This window comes from Homo sapiens, chromosome 11, assembly GCF_000001405.40.
Source record: "Homo sapiens chromosome 11, GRCh38.p14 Primary Assembly".
NCBI classification, from domain to species: domain Eukaryota; kingdom Metazoa; phylum Chordata; class Mammalia; order Primates; family Hominidae; genus Homo; species Homo sapiens.
This window is the reverse complement of record NC_000011.10, coordinates 64,965,377-64,979,869: the sequence shown is the minus strand read 5'-3', so window position 1 is coordinate 64,979,869 and position 14,493 is coordinate 64,965,377. Positions and strand designations below refer to the sequence as shown.

The following is a 14,493-nucleotide window of genomic DNA, read 5'->3' as shown; positions in this document are numbered from 1 at the left end:
TCCATGCCCGTCCTGTGCTTTTCTGTCATCTTCCTTTTTGTGTGACTGTGTCTTGCTACCCTCTTCCCTCCCTCAATGATAGCAACCAGTGTGGCACATAATGATTATGATTATTATTATTACTGAGACAGGGAGGCCCAGGCTGGAGTGTAATGGCACAAACACAACTCACTGCAGCCTTGACCTCCCAGGCTCAAGTGATTCTCCCTTCTCGGCCTCCCAATGTACCAGATTCTCAGGCGTGAGTCACACCTGGCCGACACATAATGAATACTTTTATTTTTTAATTTTTTACTTTTTAAAATTTTTGTTAGAGATGGGGTCTTGCTATGTTGACCAGGCTGGTCTCGAGCTCCTGGCCTCAAACGATTCTCCCATCTCGGCCTCCCAAAGTTCTGTGGTTACAGCCATGAGCCACTGTGTCCGGCCAATGAGTAGTTTTAAAAAGCCTATGCTGGCCGGGTGCGGTGGCTCACGCCTGTAATCCCAGCACTTTGGGAGGCCGAGGTGGGCAGATCACGAGGTCAGGAGATCGAGACCATCCTGGCTAACACGGTGAAACCCCGTCTCTACTAAAAATACAAAAAAAATTAGCCGGGCGTGGTGGCAGGCGCCTGTAGTCCCAGCTACTCAGGAGGCTGAGGCAGGAGAATGGCGTGAACCCCAGGGGATGGAGCCTGCAGTGAGCCAAGATCGTGCCACTGCACTCCAGCCTGGGCGACAGCGAGACTCTGTTTCAAAAAAAAAAAAAAAAAAAAAAAAAGCCTATGCTTTCGGAGGCAGTGGAGCATAGCGGTTAGTGGTGAAACAGCTTAGGCTCCAGGGCCAGACAGGATTAGGTTCAAATCTCAGCTCTATTATTTCCTCATTCAACTTCAAGACTGAGCTTTCTCATCTGGAAAATGGAGATTTAAAAAGGTACCCACCTACAGTCCACCCAACATATATGTGTGTGTGTATATACACAAATATATGAATGTATAATGTAGATAGGTGATATGGTTTGGTTGTGTCCCCACCCAAATCTCAACTTGAATTGTATCTCCCAGAATTCTCGCGTGTTGTGGGAGGGACCCAGGGAAAGGTAATTCAATCATGGGGGTCTATCTTTCCCGTGCTATTCTCGTGACAGTGAGTAAGTCTCACGAGATCTGATGCGTTTATCAGGGGTTTCTTCTTTTGCGTCTTCCTCATTTTTCTCTTGCTGCTGTCATGTAAGAAGTGTCTTTTGCCTCCCGCCATGCTGAGGCCTCCCCAGCCATGTGGAACTGTAAGTCCAATTAAACCTCTTTTTCTTCCCAGTTTCAGGTATGTCTTTGTCAGCAGTGTGAAAACGAACTAATACGATAGGTATAATAGAAAAGTATATGTTCAGCCAGGCATGGTGGCTCACACTTGTAATCCCAACACTTTGGGAAGCCAGGTGAGAGGATGGCTTAAGCCCAAGAGTTCAAGACCAGCCTGGGCGACAGAGCGAGACTCTGTCTCAAAAAAGAAAAAGAAAATTCACTGAGCTACACATTTATGATCTGTGGTGGGTTTTTGTTTTGTTTTGTTTTGTTTTTTGAGACAGGGTCTGGCTCTGTCGCCCAGGCTGGAGCGTAGCGGTGGGATCTCGGCTCACTGCAAGCTCCGCCTCCCAGGTTCACGACATTCTCCTGCCTCAGCCTCCCGAGTAGCTGGGACTACTGGCGCCCGCCACCACGCCCGGCTAATTTTTTGTATTTTTAGTAGAGACGGGGTTTCACCGTGTTAGCCAGGACGGTCTCGATCTCCTGACCTCGTGATCCGCCCGCCTCGGCCTCCCAAAGTGCTGGGATTATAGGCGTGAGCCACCACGCCCAGCCTGACCTGTGGTTTTTTCTATTATGTCTGGTTACTTTGGAAAAAGGGGGTTGCGTGTAAGGAGTAGCTCACAGTCCCTGGCATATAGTAAGTGTTCAGTAAGTGTTAACTACTCCAAGTGAATGAAAAAACTCATGACTTGCCCCCAAGTGAAATCCATTAAAAATCAGAACCATGGACAGATCAGAGCCTGTGCTCAGGGAGGGTTGAAGGAAAAACCTCAGGTCTGATATGGGGGACCTGAGGCAAGAAGGAATCTGAGAACTTTCCTCTTGGATTAGTGGTTCAGTGCCTTCTGGGGGCATTCCCATCCTGCAGGAGAGAGACTATTCCTTGGGGACTGTAAGTGTCTTTGTGTTCCTGCAGAAATGCATGCCATTTTAAAAGGTCTACAGCCCCGTTTTTCAAAGCAGAGAATGCTGAAGTCTCTCCAGAGAGGCCAGTCCTGCCTCCACTACATCCGACAGCGTACCCAGGCCCTTGCAAGCTTTCCTCCTTGTGTCTTGGCTTCTGTTTATCTGGTGAGGGGGCGGACAGGGAAGAGACTCCAGTCAGGGTAAAAATAACCTAGGACAGATCTCTCAATCATGCCAAGACTCCTGAGTCTGACTCCCTGGGGTGGGCCTGGACCCAGTGTCTACAACAGTTTTCATGGACGATTCTTGGGAACACTTGAGCCTCTAACAGCTTGGTCTTTTGAGTTAGATTCAAACACAAAACATAGCCAAAGAGAGCTCTTCTGAAGGATCTCTGTGGTTGGGGAGGGGACTCCCGGGTTAGTGGTTCACCTCCTTGCTGGGGTCCTCTGCTTCTGTCCTGTGACAGCCACCAACCGCAGGAATCGGCTCGTGTTACTAAAACTGCAAAAAGGCCTTCAAGGTCTGGGCTGAGCCTGGAAGGATTTGGAGGCCTCTTTGAGCAAACCTATCCCACCCCATCACCTCTTCAATCTCCACAAGGCTCATACCTGGATGGTCAATGGGTTTCACAGCCTTACTGTGAGTCAGACACCCAACACACAGAGAGGGAGTGGTAAACTGAAGACTGAATTACACTACCCTAAGGGTGGGGGCAGATCCCCCTGTCCCTACCCCCAGGGTTGCCTCTCTGAGTCAAGTCATTTCAATTCCCCATGGCCCCGTCAGACCAGTCTCTGGCTGGTCAGATTTTCTGAGCTGAGGCCCGTTGCCTGGCAGGTAATTGACCTGGGAAGCCCAAAGGGAGGTGGTAGGGGTTGGGGAGCCCCAGGTGCTGCAGGAAATGGAGCTGTTGATTAAGTGGCTCCTTCCCTCAGCCTTGGAGGCTGGGAAGCTGCACAGGCCCAAGAAGCAGCAGCAGCTCTCTAAGGAACAAGACCTGGTTCTGACCCTCTTGGGGAGATCATGGGTCTGCAGAGCATTTCCCTAAGAGCTTCAGGGGCTGGCTGTTAATGGGGGCCCTATTCCCAGCACTCAATTCTTCCTCAGTAGGTGCTAGGCTTCTTCCTAGGACAGGATTTGTTTTGTTCTCTGGGGCTCTCAGACTGAACTGCTTAGGGGGAGGAAAGCCAGTTACAGAATGTGACAATGTGACCAGGGCCCCTCTGAGAAGCCTTTCTGGGAGTCCCTGGGAGAAAGGGACCAGGAGAGGGCCGGGCATGGTAGCTCACACCTGTAATCCCAGCACTTTGGGAGGCCGAGGCAGGCGGATCACCTGAGATCAGGAGTTCCAGACCAGCCTGGCCAACATGGTGAACACCCGTCTCTACTAAAAATACAAAAATTAGCCGGGTGTGGTGGTGCACACTTGTAATCCCAGCTACTTGGGAGGCTGAGGCAGGAGAACTGCTTGAACCCAGGAGGCAGAGGTTGCAGTGAGTCGAGATTGTACCACTGCTCTCCAGCCTGGGCAACAGCGAGACTCCATCTCAAATAAATAAATAAATAGCCCAGGCACAGTGGCTCACGCTTGTAATCCCAGCACTTTGGGAGGCCGAGGTGGGTGGATCACCAAAGGTCAGGAGTTAAAGACCAGCCTGGCCAACACGGCAAAACCCCATCTCTACTAAAAATACAAAAAAAATTAGATAGGCCTGGTGGTGGGTACCTGTAATCTCAGCTACTTGGGAGGCTGAGGCAGGAGAGTTGCTTGAACCCAGGAGGCAGAGGGTGCAGTGAGCCGAGATCGTGCCATTGCACTCCAGCCTGGGCGACACTGGAACGACACTCTGTCTCAAAAATAAATAAATTAATTAAAATAAATAAAGGGACCAGGAGAGGGTAAAGTAATCCTGCCTCCAAGTCAAAGGAGTGGGACAGTAGTCAAGACCAAGGACATCCCTTGAAGGGTCAGGTGGTCAGATGGTTGTGATAAAGCACAGGATTCATGGTCCCTTGAGAGTGTCCCCGCCAGAGCTTGATTCTCAGAAGCACTTGAACTATACCCACAGCCACATGTAAAGAATGTTTCATCCAAAGTTTATCTGAGTATGGTCCCTTCTACCAGCAGCAGCAGCACCTGGGAACTTACTTGTTCAAAAGGCAAATTCTCAGACCCCCAGATCTACTAAATCAGAAACTTGGGGGCTCGGTCCAGCAATCTACAAGCCCTCTAGGTAGTTCTGATGCATGCCCACGTTTGAGAACTAATACTGGTGTAATCTGACAGGACTCCAGAGCTGGATTGCCCAGTAAACTTCCTTCATTTGAAAATTCATCAACATTCATCAAACATGGGTTAGCACCTTCTATGTGCTAGATCCCTTGTCAAGCCACATAAGAAGCCCAAAGTGGCCGGGTGCGGTGCCTCACACCTGTAATCCCACTACTTCAGGAGGCCAAGGCGGGCAGATCACGAGGTCAGGAGATCGAGACCATCCTGGCTAACACGGTGAAACCCCGTCTCTACTAAAAATACAAAAAATTAGCCAGGTGTCGTGGTGGATGCCTGTAGTCCCAGCTACTCAGGAGGCTGAGGCAGGAGAATGGCGTGAACCCGGGAGGCAGAGCTTGCAGTGAGCCGTGATCGCACCGCTGCACTCCAGCCTGGGCGACAGAGGGAGACTCCGTCTCAAAAAAAAAAAAAAAAAAAAAAAGCCCAAAGTGGTGTAAATTGCAGTTCCCACCCTCCAAGCAGACTGGCCAGTCAATACAAGGAAAGGCAAAAAAAAAAAAGGGACCTGATCTTCTGGCTAGGGGGATTACAGAGGGCTTCTCAGAGGAGGTGGCATTTGGGCTGGGCCTTGAAGGATAAGTAAGAATAAGCAGGCAGAAAATGAAAATGAAAATGAAAATGAAGAAGCCAGGTTCCAGGAACTTTTTTTTTGCGGGGGGACTCGATGTGTCCCCCAGGCCAGACTGCAGTGGCATGATCACAGCTCACTGCAGCCTTGGACCCCTGGGCTCAAGCAATCCTCCCCCTCAGCCTCCTGAGTAACTGGGAATACAGGCATGCACTTCTATGTCTGGCTATTTTTTTTATTTTTTTGTGGAGATGGAGTCTTACTATGTTGCCCAGGCGAGTCTTGAACTCCTGGCCTCAAGAGATCCTCCTGTCTCCCAACGTGTTGGGATTACAGGTGTGAACCATCACGCCTGGCCTCAGGAACATATTTCTGAGACCAAAATCCAACTTTTAAGAGCATCTTATTGCTGTAGGGATAAATTCAAGTACCTCAAGTACCTCAGCACAAGCTTCTTCGTAGTCTAGCCCCTGTGTCTCCCCTCAACCATATCTCCTGCCACTCCACACCTGTTTCTTTCTTTTTCTTTTCTTTCTTTCTTTCTTTTTTTTTTTTTTTTTTTGAGATGAAGTTTCACATTTTTTGCCCGGGCTGGAGTGCAATGGTGCAGTCTCAGCTCACTGCAACCTCCACCCCCCGATTTCAAGTGATTCTCCTGCCTCAGCCTCCAAGTAGCTGGGATTAAGGTGCATGCCACCTTGCCTGGCTGATTTTGTGGTGTGTTTTTTGTTTGTTTTAGTAGAGACAGGGTCTCACCATGTTGGCCAGGCTGGTCTCAAACTCCTGACCTCAGGTGATCTGCCCGCCTCCGCCTCCCAAAGTGCTGGGATTACAGGTGTGAGCCACTGCACACGGCCACCTGTTTCTTATAGTTAAGTAACACTGAACTTCTTGGAGACAGACACACACACAGCATGCTATTTTTTGTTGCCAGGCTTTTGCCATGTGCTGGCTGGCTTGACAGATCTGGTATATGTGCTTTGAATTCTGTTGTCATCTGCGAGCGTTGCTGTTGAAATGTTCCAGTATGGCAGGCTAAGTCTGAATCCATACGAGTCTCTTTAGCACTGTAAATTGTTTCTGAGTTAGGGTATAGGTTTATTAATTCTCAAGAATCCCAAGGGCCCATAAAAAGGTGCTCAACGTTATTAGTCGTTAGGGAAATGCAAATTAAATCTATAACTAGATACCACTACACATCTATTAGGATGGCAAAAAATTTTTAACTGAAAATATCAAGTGCTGGCAAGGATGCAGAGCAATTCTCACACTCTGCTGACGGGAGTGCAGAATGGTACAGCCACTCTGGAAAACTGCTTCGCAGTTTCTTTCTTTCTTTTTTTTTTTTTGAGATGGAGCCTCACTCTGTAGCCCAGGCTGGAGTGCACTGGAGTGATCTCAGCTCACTGCAACCTCTGCCTCCCAGGTTCAAGCAATTCTCCTGCCTCAGCCTCCAGAGTAGCTGGGATTACAGGCACGTGGCCACCATGCCCAACTCTAATTTTCGTATTTTTAGTAGAGACGTAGTTTCACCATGTTGCCCAGGCTGGTCTTGAACTCCTGACCTCGTGATTTGCCTGCCTTGGCCTCCCAAAGTGCTGGGATTACAGATGTGAGCCACCGCGCCCAGGCCCCCACTCCCCCCGATTTTTTTTTCTTTTTTGAGACGGAGTTTTGCTCTTGTTGCCCAGGCTGGAGTGCAATGGTGTGATCTCAGCTCACTGCAAGCTCTGCCTCCCGGGTTCAAGAGATTCTTGTGCTTCAGCCTCCCGAGTTGCAGGGATTACAGGTGTGCCCCACCGTGCCTGGCTAATCTTGTTTTTGCTTTGTTTTGTTTGAGACGGAGTCTTGCTCTGTCGCCCAGGCTAGAGTCCAGTGGCGCAATCTCGCAAACTCGGCTCACTGCAAGCTCCGCCTACCGAGTTCACGCCATTCTCCTGCCTCAGCCTCCTGAGTAGCTGGGACTACAGGCGCCCGCCACCACGGCTAGTTTTTTGTATTTTTTGTTATTTTTAGTAGAGACGGGGTTTCACCGTGTTAGCCAGGATGGTCTGGATCTCCTGACCTCGTGATCTGCCCTCCTCGGCCTCCCAAAGTGCTGGGATTACAGGAGTGAGCCACCGCGCCTGGCTAAGCTTGTATTTTTACAAAATAGAGATGGGGTTTCACCACATTGGCCAGGTTGGTCTCAAACTCCTGACCTTAGGTTATCCACCCACCTTGGCCTCCCAAAGTGCTGGAATTACAGGCATGAGCCACCGCGCCCGGCCCTGTCTCTACTTTTAAAAATAAGATTTAAGGAAAAAAAGTGGGAGTGCGTGTGTGTGTGTGTATGTGTGTGTAACAGGTCTCGCTTGGTCGCCCCGGCTGGAGTGCAGTGGCGCGATCTCGGCTCACTGCAGCCTCGGCCTCCTGAGCTCAAGCGATCCTAAATTTGGGGCATTAATGCCTGCCGCAGAGCATATCGCCGAGGAATAAAGGAAGGTACCCTGCATAACGCCTAGCACACAGTAAGGACTCTGCAGTCGCTAGTTCCCGACGACACCACGCTAAAGCAGGCGCGAAATAAACAATGGGCTGGTAAATCCAGGAGGGACCTGAAGGCGCCAAGGCGTCCTCTCGGTGTCGACAATGAAATGCGCACGCGCAGACCGCGGCCAGGCCTTGGAGCTGCGCCCGAAGGGGCGGTGGGAAGCGCACTTGCGCGTGCGCAGAAGGCCTGGTGGGTGCGCGGCACGAGCCCCGAAGTTGCTTAGGAGCTGGCGAGCCAGTCCCTCAAAACGACTTCGTTCGAGGTTGGCGCCCGCCTTTTTCAGAGAGCACTTCTTAGTGGGTATTCCGTCCGGGGCCACTTTTCTGAGGCCGAAGGACCCCTAGTCAGTGTGTGAGACATAGCCTGGCCGAGCCTGGGAACCACCTGGGGCTGAGGTAACGGCACACGACGGCCCGGGCCCTCGGGAAGTTGTCTTTGCGTTTCTGTTTATTTCTGAGGGAAGTTTCCGGGCCGGGCTCCACCCTCCGCCGCCGAAGTGCAGTCCCCCCTGCCCCCTGAGGTCCCTTTCTCAGCGCCGGGCTCTCGGGACACCCAGCAAGCTCGCCCAGGGTGCAGGCCGTGCCACTGCAGGGCTCCCACGGGGAGGCCGCGGGACCGGAGCGCGGGTCGCAGGCCGGGAGCGTGCGAGGTAGACCGGGGGGCTCCAGGCCTCTGTCCCCTCCTTCGGGCGAGTGACCGGCACACAGTACGGGGACCCTGCTGTCGTCCGCCGACTCCAGAGACTGCCCTTTCCCCACTCCACACCCAGCGCTTCACCCTCCTCCTCCTCCTCCTTCCCCGCCCCCCCGCAACTTCCTCCGTCCTTTTTTTTTTTTTTTTTTTTGAGGCGGGGTCTCGCTCTGTCGCCCAGGCTGGAGTTCAGTGGGGGCGATATTGACTCACTGCAACCTCCGCCTCCTGGGTTCAAGCGATTCTCCTGCCTCAGCCTCCTGAGTAGCTGGGATTACAGGCATGCGCCGCCACTCCTGGCTAATTTTTGTATTTTTGTAGAGATGGGGTTTCACCATGTTGGCCAGGCTGGTCTTGAACTCCTGACCTCAAGTGATCCACCCGCCTCTGCCTCCCAGAGTGCTGGGATTGCAGGTGCCCGCCACCATACCCGGCTAATTTTGGTGTTTTTAGTAGAGACGGTTTCACCATGTTGGCCAGACTGATCTCGAACTCCTGATTTCAGGATATCCACCCGCCTCGGCATCCCAAAGTGCTGGGATTACAGGTGTGAGCCGCTTTGCCCGGCCACACCCCACCTTCTTACCACAGACTTTCCCCAGGAACTAAAGTGCTCCTCTGGTCTATACCCACCCTCCAACCCCAGCCTAGCTGTTGCCATGAAAACAAGATTTTTTCCACTGAAACATTTCCTGTCACATCATGTCTTGATTTGAATGAGTTTCTGGCTTTCAAATGCCCGATTGCACCTTGCAAGTAAATATGAGTCATGGCACTGAGATCTCTGTGCCACTCCCCAGAGCCTTGATTGAATCTTGGCATCTGGGCAAGTGGGCAGAAAGATGCCAGCAGGTATACTTTGCCGAACATCCTTTTCTTTTTCTTTCTTCTTTTTTTCTTTTTTTTAAGACAGTGTGGGCCAGGCACGGTGGCTCATGCCTGTAATCCCAGCACTTTGGGAGGCTGAGGCAGGTGGATCACAAGGTCAGGAGATGGAGATTATCCTGGCCAACATGGTGAAACCTGGTCTCTACTAAAAATACAAAGATCAGCCGGGTGTGGTGGCAGGCTCCTGTAGTCCCAGCTACTTGGGAGGCTGAGGCAGGAGAATCGCTTGAACCCAGGAGGTGGAGGTTGCAGTGAGCCAAGATCGCACCATTGCACTCCAGCCTGGGCAACAGAACAAGACTCCGTCTCAAAAAAAAAAAAAAAAAAAAAAAGACGGAGTCTTGCTCTTGTCCCCCAGGCTGGAGTGCAATGGTGAGATTTGGGCTCACTGCAACCTCTGCCTGCTGGGTTCAAGCGATGCTCCTGCCTCAGCCTCTCAAGTAGCTGGGATTACAGGTGTCTGCCACCACACCTGGCTAATTTTGTATTTTTAGTAGAGATGGGGTTTCACCATGTTGGCCAAGCTGGTCTCGAACTCCTGACCTCAGGTGATCCACCCACTTTGGCCTCCCAAAGTGCTGGGATTACAGGCAAGTGTCACTGCGCCTGGCCCATCCTTCACTTTTTTGAACTCTAGTTCCTTCATGTATGTATCTGCAGGTAGGAAGCCAGTTTCCAGCAGTCTTATCTAGAATCTCTCTTTGGCTATCTCATTGGCATCTCAAACTTCAGCATCTCCAGATACAGACTCAACATCTTGCCTTCAAAAATTTACTTTCCAAGGCTCCTGTTTTCAGAAAATGGTGCTTTTACCTCTTCAGTTAGTTGCTCAAGCAACCAGGAGTCATCGCTCTCCCTCACCTTATCAAGTCACCAGGTCATTACTGAGGGAGGAGAATCGCTTGAACCCGGGAGGCAGAGGTTGCAGTGAGCCAAGATCGCACCACTGCACTCCAGCCTGGGCAACAGAGTAAGACTCCGTCTCAAAAAAAAAAAAGACAGAGTCTTGCCTGCCTCAGCTTCCTGAGTACCATCTTCCAAATCAGTTCACCTTTTGTCATCTTCACTTTTATCACTGTAGACCTGGCTACTGTCAGCTTCTGCCTTGAGCCGCAGGAGGCTCCTAGCTGGTCTCCTTTCATCTGTTCTTGTTCCGGGTTGTTTCCCACATTGCAGCCAGGAGGGATTTTTTTTTTTTTTTAAGTCACAGCCATCTGGTCATGTCGTTTTTTTTTTTTATTATACCCTTCAGTGCCTTCTGATTGCTCTGACAACAGATTCCACAATCTGTAACCTGGCTTATAAGGAAGGCCCTCATCCCTTCTCTATAATTTCTTCCTGGATGATCTCATCATCTATTCCAGTAGTTTCACATACCATCTAAACACTGGTGACTCAAATGTATATTTCCGTTCTGATTTCTGTCCCTTACACACTAGGAGACTGCCTCCTCGGTATATCCACTTGGATGTCTCATAGGCCTCTTAGACTTAAAACACAACTACTAATTTTCACTGCTCCCTCCCACCCCAAATCTCTTTCCCTAGAATTATTCCCCATCTCAGTAGAGTATGTACCATTGTCTACCTAATTGCAAAGGCAAAAAAATCTGAGAGCCATCCTTGATTCCCACATCTAGTCCGTTAGTTAGTCTAAAGTATATCTCAAATCTAACTATTTATTAATTTCTAAAATCCCAAGTCCAAATCAGCAGCATCTTTCTCCTGGACGACTACAGAAGCTTCTTAACTGGTCTCCCTATTTCTCCTCCTGTCCCCTTACAGTTCATCTTCCTTTCAGTCACCAGATATTTAGATATTTTGGACCAAGCTTGGTGGCTCATTCTTGTTTTTTTTTTTTTTGAGACAGAGTCTCGCTCTGTGGCCCAGGCTGGAGTGTAGTGGTGCGATCTCGGCTCACTGCGAGCTCCACCTCCTGGGTTCGTGCCATTCTCCCACCTCAGCCTCCTGAGTAGCTGGGACTACAGGCACCCGCCACCACGCCCAGCTAATTTTTTTTTATTTTTAGTAGAGATGGGGTTTCACCATTCACAGGATGGTCTCGATCTCCTGACCTCATGATCCGCCCGCCTCAGCCTCCCAAAGTGCTGGGATTACAGGCGTGAGCCACCATGCCTGGCCTGATGGCTCATGCTTGTAATCCCAGCATTTAGGGAAGCCGAGGTGGGCAGATCACTTGAGCTCCGGAGTTCGAGACCAGCATGGGCAACATAGTGAAACCCCATCTCTGCAAAAATTAGCTGGGTATAGTGGTGGGCACCTGTAGTCCCAGCTACTTGGGAGGCTGAGGTGGGAGGATTGCTTGAGCCTGGGAGGTTGAGGCTGCCCTGAGCTGTGATTGTGTCGCTATACTCCAGCCTGGGCGCCAGAGAGAAATCCTGTCTCTAAAATAAAATTAGAATAGATATTTAGATATTTATAAAGCATATATCAAATCAGTTATCTCCCCTTTATAAAATCCTTGGCATAAAATCTGGACTTTTTACAATGGCCTACAAGCCTTACACGATCTGGTCCCTGCCTAACACTCCATCTTCATCTCCCTCCTCTCTCTCTTCATTCTCAATGTTCTAGCCACATTGACCTTTCTGTCCATTAAACTCATCACAGACATCTGCACTTGCTGATTTTTCTGCTTGGAATGCTTTTCCCCGTGATCGTTGCTCCTTTCCATGAAGGCCTCAAGTCAGTTGTGATTTATTCTGAAAGGCCATCACTGGCCATACTAGCTAAAGCAGCCTTCTAGTCATCCTAAATAAAACCACATATTATTTTCTTGATGCTATTTAGAGTACCTCAATTTATATTTGTTTATTTATTTATATGTTGAATGTTGCTCTCCACACCTCCTGAAATGTAAGCCCTTAAAGACGAGGGATCATGTCTCTCTTGTTACTTACCATATTAGTGCCCAGAACAGTGCCTGATACACTGTAGGGTCTCAGATATGTGCTGACTGACTCACTTATCTGTATAGTCTCACCTTGTAGCATTGTCTTTCTTGCCCACTGTGTTCGGGTTACTGTACTTCTCTCTTTTGAAAGTGCCATGCTTTTTCTCAACTGAGTACTCTTGTACCTGCTATTTCCTCTACCCACCCCAGACCCACCATCCATTCTCCATTTGTGCCTCACTAGCTCATATTCTTCCTTTAGAAATTAGTCACTTACTTAGAATGGGCTTCCCTGACATGTTACGGGGAAACCAGCACTTTGTTTCTTTTTCCTTTTCTTTTCTTTTTCTTTTTCTTTTTTCTTTTTCTTTTTTGAGACAGAGTTTCGCTCTTGTTGCCCAAGCTGGAGTGCAATGGTATCATCTCGGCTCATTGCACCCTCTGCTTCCTGAGTTCAAGTGATTCTCCTGCCTCAGCCTCCAGAGTAGCTGGGATTACAGGCGCCACCACCACGCCCGGTTAATTTTTATATTCTAGTAGAGGCGGGCTTTCACCACGTTGGCCAGGTTCGTCTCGAACTCCTGACCTCAAGTGATCTGCCCGACTCAGCCTCCCAAAGTGCTGGGATTACAGGTATGAGCCACAGCACCTGGCCTTTTTCTTTTTTTTATATGATACAGACGAGGGCTCACTGTGTTGCCCGGGCTGGTCTCGAACTCCTGGGCTCAAGTAGTCCTGCCTCAGCCTCTGAAAGTGGGATTACAGGCATGAGCCACAACACCTGGCCAAGTATATCTTTCTATAAACCTAGCAAGTACATTTCTTTTTCTTTCTTTTTTTTTTTTTTTTTTGAGACAGTCATTCTGTCGCTCAGGCTGGAGTGCAATGGTGTGTTCTCAGCTCACTACAACCTCCATCTCCCGGGTTCAAGTGATTCTCCTGCCTCAGCCCCCTGAGTAGCTGGAATTACAGGCACCTGCCACCATGCCCAGCTAGTTTTTGTATTTTTAGTAGGGACTGGGTTTCACCATGTTGGTCAGGCTGGTCTCGAACTCCTGACCTCAAGTGATCCGCCTGCCTTGGCCTCCCAGAGTGCTGGGATTACAAGGCGTGAGCTACTGCACGCCTGGCCACGAGTACAATTCTTATCTCCTTAATATCTCACCAGAATTGGATTAAGGTTAGTAAAATTTGCCCTCTTTATATAAAAAGTCCTTTTCTTTTTTCTTTTCTTTTCTTTTTTTGAGATGGAGTCTCACTCTGTGTTGCCCAGGCCGGATTGCAGTGGTAGAATCTTGGCTCACTGCAACCTCCGCCTCCTGGGTTCAAGCAATTCTCCTACCTCAGCCTCCCGAGTATCTGGGACTACAGGCTTCCACCACAATGCCTGGCTAATTTTTGTATTTTTAGTAGAGACAGAGTTTCACCATGTTGGCCAGGCTGGTCTTGAACTCCTGATCTCAGGTGATCCTCCTGCCTTGGACTCCCAGAGTGCTAAGATTACAGGGGTGAGCCACTGTGCCTGGCTGTATCAATTGTTAAAATTGCTTTCTTTCTTTCCAGCTAAGGATATTTTCTCCATCATTTGCCCTTCTGAAACTACTGCTGCTGCTGCTTTTTTTTTTTTTTTTTTTTCATTTTTAATCTTCTTCCTTACATGTACTGCTTCTGGGCAGCTCACCCAATGGTGTAATCAAAAAAATAAAATGTCCTTCCTTGCTTGCAGTTTTACATCCAAGTGCTTTTTGGGTTCCTGCGGTTGGTAGGATATTTTAGAGTGCTGCAGTGAATTCAGCATGATGTGAATTCTTTTTTTTTTTTTTTTGAGACAGAGTCTCGCTCTGTTGCCCAGGCTGGAATGCAGTGGCGTAGTCTCGGCTCACTGCAAGCTCTGCCTCCCGGGTTCACGCCATTCTCCTGCCTCAGCCTCCTGAGTAGCTGGGACTACAGGCGCCTGCCACCACGCCTGGCTAATTTTTTGTATTTTTAGTAGAGATGGGGTTTCACCGTGTTAGCCAGGATAGTATCGATCTCCTGACCTCGTGATCAGCCCGCCTCGGCCTCCCAAAGTGCTGGGATTACAGGCATGAGCCACTGTGCCCAGCCGCATGATGTGAATTCTAAGGGACAGGTTAATTTTCATGTAACAAGCCACAACTACTGGACAGGGTGGTGAGGTGAGACGCTATTGCATTTCCAGAATAAGGAGCACATCCTGGACCTTTTGGCCAAAGGTCGTTTTTCATTAGCTCTTAGGATGGTTAAGGTGAAAGGGGAAGATGCATTTTTGTGCAAAGAGTAACTTAAGAGTAACTTAAGTGCAAAGAGTAACAAAGAGAAACTAAGTTAACTTAAGAGGTTAATTTAGACTCCTTTCTGGTTTATTGAGTTACCCACTGAGGTC

General features: G+C 49.4%; 1 protein-coding gene across 9 annotated transcripts in view; it reads left to right on the top strand.

Moving 5' to 3' along the window:
- Positions 1-7,761: 7,761 nt before the first annotated feature.
- Positions 7,762-14,493, top strand: part of MAJIN (membrane anchored junction protein) — a 33,879-nt gene continuing 27,147 nt past the window's right edge. For 6 of the 9 annotated variants that reach the window (NM_001300803.2, XM_047426798.1, NM_001037225.3 and 3 more), the window contains exon 1: positions 7,762-7,993. The gene's annotated coding sequence lies outside the window, so the exon portion shown is untranslated. Of the gene's footprint in view, positions 7,994-13,178; positions 13,270-14,493 lie in introns of those variants that run through there. The other 3 variants (XM_024448447.2, XM_047426796.1, XM_047426797.1) reach the window with 2 other exon arrangements.